Below are 10,443 nucleotides of genomic sequence, written 5' to 3'. Positions count from 1 at the left end.
CTTTTTTATTCTCATTTCAATTCTCAGTGCAAACATACTAGATTATATTTCACAGTATATTAGTCCAAATGATTTTTTATCAGCATTATAATTCTTGGGCTGTCTAAAAGAATACAAAAAAATTCAAAATGATTCTAAGAGGATTCTGAGAACAAAAAGGAGAGTATCTAATGCTACAAATAAATAAATACTGAAATAAATAGCACACAATAGTAATTGAAAGGAGAATATATAAAAATATTGGCCGCCTCATGTTTGTTCAGAATTTTCCTCCAGCCCTTTGTTTATGTGGGCCAATGTGCTGGAGATCTCCTTTCGGCCTCTCTAGGTCCATTCTATACTCTGTGTCCTAAGAGATTCATGACTATGTACTGTATCAATAGCCTCTTTTGTCCCATAGAATCTGCTTGGGTTCAGAAAATAGGAAGCACCAGCAGGTGAGGGGGAAGTGAGTGAGGTCGAGATATTTATTCTGGTTCCCACCTGCTCCTTCATTGCAGGTGACCTGCAGGTCACCACGGGCTCTGTGAGTACCTCCAAATAAATTGCAACTTCTATCTGCAATGCTCTCTGGGCCTCCAGATGCCAGGAACTCCTTCTCCTCTTTGGACCCCAGAGTAAACATTCCCACACTTACTATCCTTATAGTCTCTTGTGGAATTTCTAAACTGTGCCTATATATTTGTCTTAGTTTAAGGGGTCAGCTTGAGTTTGCTAACTATGCTTTCTAGAACCTTCACTAATATTGCCAATAAGCAGCCTTAGATTTTCCTGTAGATTCTTCTATTTAAACTTACTTTTATCACATGTAATAATATACAATACATAATATATGATATTATATATAGATGCTCCTTAACTTACAATGGGGTTATGCTGCAATAAACCCATGATAATTTGAAAATATTTTATGGCTGAATAGTACTCCGTTGTATATATGTACCACATTTTCTTTATCCATTCATCTGTTGATGGACATTTAGGTTGCTTCCAAATCTTAGCTATTGTAAACAGTGCTGCAACAAACACTGGAGTGCTGATATCTCTTCTATATATTGATTTTCTTCCTTTTGTTTGTATACCCAGCAGTGGGATTGCTGGATTATGATGTGGTTATTACACATTTCATGCTTGTATCAAAACATCTCATGTACTCCATAAATATATGCACTTACTGTGTATCCATAAAAATTAAAAAAGAAACAAATCCATTGAAAATATTGTTCAATATTTTGAAGGCATTATTCTTGAGCAGGACAATGGATAATGCAGCATCCAAAGTAATGATGCAATTAGCATGAAATAAATGGAATTTGGAAATGCAAGAGGTAAGAAGATCTAGATTGTCTTCAAGAGACATGACATTGTTAGTAATAACAATGGTATTACAGACACCTTACCAGGGGTTGATCTTGGCTTTATTCCATTGTAAGTCAAGGAAAGTACTGAATGCATATACTCAAACTATTCTAAAGTCAAAAAATTGTCCAATTAAAACATTGTAAATCAAGGATCATCTGTATATTTATAAATATCCATGTGTATATAGAAACATGTATAAGTATAGGTAAAATTTACTGCTCTTATTGTTTATTTTGAAATAGGTAGTTTTATCTTTGGATTCTAATTTCTTAAGACTTTTGAACTACATTCAAATATATCTCAAAGTAGCTAATTTTGTAGTTGTTGGAAAAGAATAATAGATACTTCACAAGCGAATATTTTAAAATGGCCCATAAGAGCTAAAAATATACTTGACATCATTATTAGTTATTAGAGAAATAAAAATTAAAACTGCAATGGGATAATGCTTTTTACTCACTAGAGTAGCTAAATTCAAATGACTGACAACACCAAATGTTGGTGGGAATGTCGAGCAATTGGGATTTTCATATTTTGTTGGTAGAAGTGTAAAATGGTGAAATCACTTTGGAAAACTGTTGAGAATTTTCTTCAAATTTGGCACCAGAAAAATGGAAAAGTCTGCAGGCATCTGGAATTTTAAAAAGGTTTTTTTGGGAAACCAGGATAATATAGCAAGGCTCTGACTGATATAGGAGTTATGGATCAATAAACCAATTGAATGGAGCAATGTTGGAACATATTCAAGAAGATACTGTATCTGAATTGAACTTCATGGAAGTTTATTTTCAGTTACACTGAATTATGTCTGTTCCCAAAGTGCTGGTGGGTAACATAAAGTTAGAGATAAACAGCATTAATATTCTCACACTTACTATCCCATAAGAGTCTATGAGCTAGGCTGGTTTCCATATTCTGTAGAATACCGTGTGATGCATAAAGGGTTCCTAAGGAGAAGGATTGCTTGACGGGGTGAGCAAGGTTTATGGAAAATGGCATAGTCTTCGAATATTCAATACCAGTAGAATATAATTAACTCTGGCATTGATGTCTTTTTTTAATGAAAATAAGTAATTCAAGACCAAAGCTGTTGAAACTTTAAATTATTTTGAGCCTTAAAAGAATGTGATTATAGGACTTGAGTCACTAACAGATAGCTGTAACCTAGGAAGTTGTAGTATTTGTTTGCCTGATTATAAATTAGCCTTTTTCCATTACCTACATTGTTTTTTAGAATGTTGTAAAAGACTAACGAGTGCCAGAGAAGACCCTTTCCCTCTTTATTTTTGATCTTCGTTATTGATTAACTTCCTTCTTCCTTGTTTTACACAAAGACCTCATGACTATTACATTGTCAAAGTTAAAATGTTAAAAATACTCATTTAAATTGGAAAAAGAAAACAAGCTATAACTAATCAATGTGCTGTAACTCATAAATCAAGTTTGTATGGGGAAATCTTTAATTCTGCTACATTTCTTTGCTTTCTGCCTACATAAGTAAAACCTTAACTTTTCAACTTTGGAGCATTGACCTCATTTCTTTGGATTCTGTGTTTCCCAGATGGCCATCCTTAGCTTTGCATTTGAATAAACACTTACACTGGATTCTCATACTATTATTTCAGGTTGGCATTCCTTTTGTCACCATTTTCTCAATTATATTTATCTTTTGTGTCTTTTTTCTTCAGCTTGTCAGCACCCTTCTGGTCCCATCTTGTTTGATTTCGTGAAAGAAAACTACTGTCCAGAGAAGGGATCCCAGTACAATGACTCTGCTCAGCCATGTTTAAGTGTGGTGTTCCAGTTTGATTATGAACCATTTCAGGGCCAGCATTATGGTGCACTCCCATCTACACTGTGGACACTATTACGCTTATATTAAAATTTTCCGACTCCCATCAATATATTTAACCAGAAAGTTGCATTATACATGTCACAGATGCTTTCATATCACTGAGAAAAGAAAAAAACTTTGTCTTTATTTAGCATGTTTATATATGGTACAGCTATTGAGGGCCTGGATGCTCGTCTGTGCTTACCACTCAGTACTGTGGACCACAGTGATGAAGACTGTGCTGATTTCAGCTTCTCTTTATCACTATACTACTTGCACCTGTACTCAGTTTCTGTGGTCTCCCTCTTCTCATTACCAACACCAAACCCAGGCTACTCGTTCTACCTCTCCTTTTACTTGATCTCCACTTGGGACCCATGATGAAGCCTCTCACGTATAAATAAAATATTTCCTACTTAAATCTCCTGCAAGAGTTAAGAATTTGTAGTCAAAAGGATTTATCTGAGTGATCTTCCTTCACTTGTTACATGAGAATGATGCTAAAGATGGGTATATTTTATGCACACAAATACCTGCTTTCTTTAGACCTCAGTTTTTTTTATTTGTAAGACAAAGGGAATAGATCAAGTTTCAATGTATTTCCACATTTAAAACCCTATGTTCCCATAAAATGTTAAGTACATGAAGCAGAAGCTGCAAAAATCAAATTAGAACCCATGCATACAGACCTAAAGAAAATCTACAAAATACTATAGAATTCAGGAATTGTGCTTAGCCAGTGTTAAGACCAAGAACTGTCCAGATTCACAGATACTGAATAGGTGATGTTGCTTTTCTTGTCTACTTGGCTATATCCGCCCCCATTTCCTAAAATCGTTATCTGCGTACTTTTGAGTATTTTGTATATTGTCATACAAACTACACAGTGGTTCTAAATTATAGAACATGAGGGAGACTTCTTCTGATTTTGAAGCATGAGTACCCTGATAAGTCACAAATTTCAGTTCAATGTCTCTTTTATCTATTTTAAAGCAAACCACATTCTCCAGCCATATCTGAAGTTTGAAAATAGGACTAAATATTGGAGATCTACAGGATTAATAAATTATAATGATATTATTTTGAAGTCGATATCAAGTCTGGCCCTGTGCTTACCATAGCTTGAGCCTAATTGTTTTTCTAAGTTTTATAAAGTCTCATAAGTTTTATATATTTTGTCTGAAGGGAAATTGTCAGATAGAATTGAGAATTAGAATTAGACAGGCGACACATACAAGTAGTCACATCTAAAATGACTTTGCTTCAAGTGAGAAAACATGTCTCCGTAATACCCACACTGTAGTCTCTCATATCCCTAAATTCACAAAGACTTACTTTATCAGAGAACGAATGTAAAAGAAAAGTGTATTAGTCAGTGTTCTCTAGAGGGACTGAACTAATAGGATATATATATATATGTGTGTGTGTGTGTGTGTGTGTGTACACATACACACACACACAAAGGGGGAATTAAGTATTAACTCACATGATCACAAGGTCCCACAATAGGCCATCTGCAAGCTGAAGATCAAGGAGAGCCACTCTGAGTCCCAAAACTGAGGAACTTGGAGTCCGACGTTCGAGGAGGAAGCATCCAGCACAGGAGAAGGATGTAGCCTGGGAGGCTAGGCCCATCTAGTCTTTTCACATTTTTCTGCCTGCTTTATATTCTAGCTGCGTTGGCAGCTGATTAGATGGTGCCCACCCAGATTGAAGGTGGGTCTGCCTTTCCCAGCCCACTGACTCAAATGTTAATCTCTTTTGGCAACACCCTCACAGACAAAACCAGGATCAATACTTTGTATCCTTCAGTCAAATAAAGTTGACACTCAGTATTAACCATCACAAAAAGAGAGAGAGCAGGAATCTGAAAGAAGGAAAGGAGCAAAAATGGCAGTAACAGCAAGACTGAGAGAGCATTAAAATAAACATGGGAGTCAAAGATTTTGGAGAAGAACAACAAAATTTTGGATTCTGTAAAGAATACAAAGCTATGAAACGGACACTACTGCTGGATTACAGCTTATTTTGTTCATCTATAAAATGAGATTTATTTGATCAGTATCCTTCAGGATCTAAACTTACCTAGAGAGAAGACATATGGAAAAAAATGGAGCTACCTATCACCCTTGTTTACAAGCAGTTCTACTCCAAAGCCACCTCAACCTTCAGCATAGTTACCTTCTCCATTAATCTCTAACCTTTGTCCAGGTACTTGGAGAGAAGTAGGGGAAACAGGCAGCAAAGGTTTTAAGTTTGCATTATCTGTCAACACTAAAGCACTTCCAGTCAAAAGGAAAAAATCTGACAAGCATGACCAACTGTTACAGAAGATTAAAAAGGGAGCTCAGATGATGATAATTTGGGTTGTATATAGATATATTTATCCAAACTTTAATACAGAATTATTCTTTCTGTACAAATATTTTCACAATTTGCTCTCGGATCTGCTTGGTCCTGACTCCATAAATGACAGGGTTAAGGGCAGGTGGGACAACCACATACAGGTTAGCCAAAAGAATATGGATATAGTGGGGAATGTTTTGGCCAAAACGATGTGTCATAAAAGAAAAAAATGCTGGTGTGTAAAAGCACAGCATAACACAGACATGAGAACCACAGGTATTGAAGGCCTTTAGTCGGACATCTTGAGAGGGAAGGCGAAAAACAGCTCTAAGGATAAGCACATAGGAAGAGGCAATTAAGATCACATCCACAATAATATAAGAAATCACCATGAGCCCATAGATTATGTTGATCTTAATGGGTGCACAGGCCAACCCGGCCAGACCCCTGTGCTCACAGTATGTGTGAGGTACGATGTTATGCCCACAGAATGGCAGACGCAGAATGAGAAACACAAATGGGGTTACAAGAACTAAATTTCTTCCAACAACCACAGAAGCTAGGATACTGATGGTTTTATTGGTGAGGATCATGGTGTACTGGAGAGGGTTGCAGATGGCAACAAAGCGGTCATAAGCCATGACCACCAACAGAACAGTCTCCATGCCTGTAAACATGTGAATAAAGAACATCTGAAGAAGGCATCCCCCAAAGCTGATCTCTTGGAGGTTGAACCAGAAGATTCCTAGCATTTTGGGGATAGTGGATGTGGACAGACCCAGATCAATCATAGACAACATGGCCAGGAAGTAGAACATGGGCTGGTGTAGACTATGTTCAGTTTTGATCACAAAGAGAATGGTCATATTCCCCACAATGGCAATCAGGTACACAATACAGAATGGGAAAGAAATCCAGATATGTAAAGTGTCCAGTCCTGGTATTCCTAGCAGGAGGAAGAAGGGGGGATAGAAGTGGGTGTCATTGATAGAAGGCATTCTCCCAGCAAGTGTCACTGAATTCCTAAGTATGAAGGATCTCACTTTCTTTAAGGTCCTCTCTTGTCAAGTTCCTGAAGAAACAGAAAGACTCTTATCAGTGTGCTAGAGGTAATGGTATAGGTGGTTAATTTACAAACATTCAAGACTCACTTCTTTCCAGAGGATAATCGAGGAAGCCTCTCAACACAGATTATTGTTCTGAGATCCATCATAGGCAATATTGCTTATGGCTTTATGTTTTGTAATCTTTGAGATATTTGAAAGAATGGGAAAAATTTCATAATGCAATGCATATTTATATTACGGCATTCCCTTCCATTACTTTCCTAAGTAGCCCTTCTTTACTTTTTGGGAAATCACCATTCCATGTGTTCTTTGAAGTGTGGTCTTGAGATCTCTGGGGTTTTCTAAGTACCTTTCCAGAAGTTCACAAGCTCAAAACTATTTTTATAATAGAAAATTTTTAGCCATTCTCACTCTCATTCTCTCATAAGTACATAGTGAAATTTTCCAGAGGTTATATGAGGTGCTACCATAACAGATTAAATGAAATTGTAAATGATGTTGTGAGATTTCAGCTCTATTATCTTAACTTAGACAATAAAAATATTTGCAAAGGAAAATGATACCATTTTTACAACTAATTTCTTGAAAAACAGTGATTTTAACAAAAAGTACCAAATTATGTTTTATATAATAGTTTGTTAATATTATTTTAATATTAAATATTTAAATTTTGCTCTAATGTCTAATAATATAAATATTATGGATGTAATTCAGAGAAACTAAAATTCTGAGTATCTCAATAGTTTCTAGATGAGACAAAGATTCCTAGTACAAAGGAGAAGTACTACTGTCTACCACTTTCTATGTTTTATTATAATATAAACGTAAGGATCTTATACAGTGACATCACATAAGTGTAGTTAATCAGTCTCTGTTAGAACTTTCCTGGTTCTAACTCAGCTAAACTGATAAGTGCATTTCTATTATGGATTAATTACTAATTTTGATGCTTCTAAATCTTCATGAACAATCCAGTTTCTCCAAGATCCTGTCATTCTGATTCCCTGATATCCTTCCAATAAAATGCCTTGTGTGTATCTGCCAAATTATGTTTATCTTCCTTACAATCTATAACATCAGTTAGTAACATAAAAAAAATTCCCATGTCCCAAAATTGTGCCTACCTTCAGGTGTAAACAGATCAAATATTTAGCAAATTTTAATATTGAAATTAAAATGTTTTAAGGACTCTTCATTGATTCCTTGACAATAACAAGGAAAATTACCTTATTTTAACTTTGCATCCCTAAAGACACTGTACAACTCTGTAGCAACTAATGTAACCTGGATTGTATAATATTTATGCATGTACTGGCCTTATTTCTACAAAGAGAATAGCTGCAACTAAGAGTTGAGAACCAGGGGTAATCATTGTAATACTCTCAAAACTGCCACATGAATGTTGGTTCCCAGTTGTTCAGCATTTAATTGAATCAGAGTTGGGGTTTGTAATAAGTGTGCTTTTGTTTGTGTGTGAGTGTGTGTGACAGAGACAGAGAGTGAGAGAGAGAGAGAGAGAGAGAGACGGAGAAGGTTGGAGAGATAGGAGTAGAGAGAGAAATCATGTTTTATTATGTACGTGGCTGCATACATCAGTTGTCCTGTAACTTTGCCAGGTAGCTATTTTACAGCAGAAGTACACAAGCAAAGGAGTTAATAATTCCCCATTCTGTATGAGAAGAACAAGAGCATTTCTTGGTCCCCGAGAAGCTGAGAGAAAATTGAAAAAAGAACATAATGTTTGCCAGTATTGAGGAAAAGATGCCAGGCTGAAAAATCAGAGGGCAGTGGTTTTTGTGATTTCACCTGGGAGAGTCTGAGGAAATAGCTAGGATGATGTGTTGTGAGATTTACAGTCCAGAGTCAGCCCAATCTTAAGGGTGGCTGTGTCTCAACATGATACTTTGCCAGCTGAGAAAAACATTCCCAGGGAGATGGCAAAGAGGACGCTTCTCTGACAGTAAAATTCAAAGCTGCCAGCACATCCACCCTCTCACAGTTTTACCTGAATTCTTGCCTTCTTTCTGTTATAACTATATGCCACAGTAGCAGACAGTGTATGGCCAATAACCTCAAGATCATTTTTTGAGGGCAAATTATTAAGTTTGTTCTTCTCTAGATATGCACATTGACAAAGATCCCTACTGGAGTCCATCTGAAAAGACAAATTCATAACAATTAGCAATTTTTCTCTTATTGTGCTCACCAAAGTTCACATTTTGAACTTGTGATTTTTTTTACTTTGTTGGATTTTTATTTTTTTGCTGACTGTAGTAGAATATTACAGAAGTCTTCTGTGGACCTTAAAACTTTTCAGACATGGCTGGAAAACCTGCTAAACCATTTACTTGCTTGAGACCCTTGGACAGATTCTTTAACCAGATAGATCAGTTTTTTTTTCTCCTGTAAAAATGAGATGATAAATTATAACTAATGTGGTTTATTTTAATGATAAATAAGACCAATGTTTGTATAGGTGCTAGTGCATAGTGTATCCTCAACAAATTATACTTACTTATTTTATTAATGCTCCCAAATATTTTGTTTATTTAAATGCAAGATAGCTAAAATAATTCACCTGTTAGCAGAAAGAAGTTATTTCATTGTAAAAAGTCCAAATTATGTCACAGTTTGGCCTAAGATTAGATAAAGGAGGAATGGCTCAGAAGAGGCCAAAGTGAAGAAATGGCACAGAGTCAGACATTAATATTTATGTCTAGATTTTTATGGATACAAATATGACCCAATACTGCTCATTTAGAAAAGAAACAATTTTCTCCTCTTATTCTTACAGCTTTCCCAATCTTGGTGAGACCAAAGCAGTTGATGAATGGATAAAGTGGATAAATACCTTCATTCAGGCTCTTCCATAACTGTGCCATTGGCGGTTCAGTCCGGCTGATCTAGCAGGGGTATTGTGCTTACAATAAAAATGGCTTGGGGATGGTTCCATAAAGTAGTAGGGATATAGGGAACCAAGTTACAACTGGCAACATTAAATTCACTCAGACAATGAGGGAAACAGAGAATAAAACTTTACAGACCAAATATGTTAATGCCTATGTAATTGTATTTGAATATTGACATGTGATACCCACCCACCACCTTAAATAAACACATACAAAAGAAGTCTGCAATAACATCCTTTTGTCTTATTGACAACAAGTATGGCCATGCTACTATATGACTGTATTTGTGGTGTTTCGGCTGTGAACAGTGTACTCTGTGAGAATGTGTGTGTATGAGTGTATGTGTGTGTAAGAGAGAGGGGCAGAGAGAAAGGGGGGAGAGAGAGAGATACACAGACAGAAATTCTGTGCATTACTAATTGGTACACCACTGCCCTCACCAATCCCATGTGCTCTGTTGTGTTCCTCTGTGAAGAAAATGGTGCAATGGTGCTTAGGATAATTCCTCAGAAAAGTGGAAGAATCTGGCCTCTCTATCCTCATTTGCCCTCTTCTTCTCTCCTGTGTATCTTTTCACTTCTCCTGCACAAGCATTCTTACCTCTGTAATATTTCTTCTCCCAGCCCTCACTTGGAGCAGAATTGGAGCATGAGTCCAGGTTCTTAAAGACCGTGATTAGGTTCCCCTTGAAGCCTCTGAGCAACAAGCCTGCTTGGTAAAGTGGAGGCAACTTTATAGTGAGTGAGAGCATCCCTATGACCAGGCATGTCCCAGAATCCCCGAGCCTAGTCTTCGGAATCCTCTGGGCAGAAACATGGACTCGAGGGTCATTAAGTCATAGTAAGTCTTTATTCCTCTTCACTGCATCTGCAGAGAAACACCATGCTAGATATAACTCCTTAGCTCAGGGGAGCAGATGTGTTAT

General features: G+C 36.5%; 1 protein-coding gene and 1 long non-coding RNA gene across 6 annotated transcripts in view; one reads left to right on the top strand and one right to left on the bottom strand.

Annotated features, from left to right (window-relative positions):
* LOC112268071 (uncharacterized) overlaps nucleotides 1-9,738 on the top strand; it is a 57,527-nt gene extending 47,789 nt beyond the window's left edge. For 4 of the 5 annotated variants that reach the window (XR_002957231.2, XR_002957230.2, XR_002957232.2 and 1 more), the window contains exon 3: nucleotides 9,404-9,738. This is a non-coding gene — a long non-coding RNA (uncharacterized LOC112268071). Of the gene's footprint in view, nucleotides 1-3,050; nucleotides 3,618-9,403 lie in introns of those variants that run through there. The other variant, XR_007062562.1, reaches the window with a different exon arrangement.
* On the bottom strand, nucleotides 3,754-10,204 carry OR52E4 (olfactory receptor family 52 subfamily E member 4). The gene is made up of 2 exons (NM_001005165.2): nucleotides 10,119-10,204; nucleotides 3,754-6,614 (listed from the first exon to the last, which is right to left on the bottom strand). Exon 2 carries the CDS (start codon nucleotides 6,538-6,540, stop codon nucleotides 5,602-5,604), a length of 939 nt encoding a protein of 312 aa, NP_001005165.1. The 5' UTR covers nucleotides 6,541-6,614; nucleotides 10,119-10,204; the 3' UTR covers nucleotides 3,754-5,601.
* Between the last annotated feature and the right edge of the window lie 239 nt (nucleotides 10,205-10,443).

The sequence above is a fragment of the Homo sapiens genome, chromosome 11 (assembly GCF_000001405.40).
Source record: "Homo sapiens chromosome 11, GRCh38.p14 Primary Assembly".
Classification (NCBI taxonomy): domain Eukaryota; kingdom Metazoa; phylum Chordata; class Mammalia; order Primates; family Hominidae; genus Homo; species Homo sapiens.
This window is presented reverse-complemented; position numbering and strand designations above follow the sequence as displayed.

Excerpts from the sequence above, each read along its gene's own strand:
- OR52E4 (NM_001005165.2), bottom strand. The coding sequence starts at position 6,540 with ATGCCTTCTATCAATGACACCCACTTCTATCCCCCCTTCTTCCTCCTG.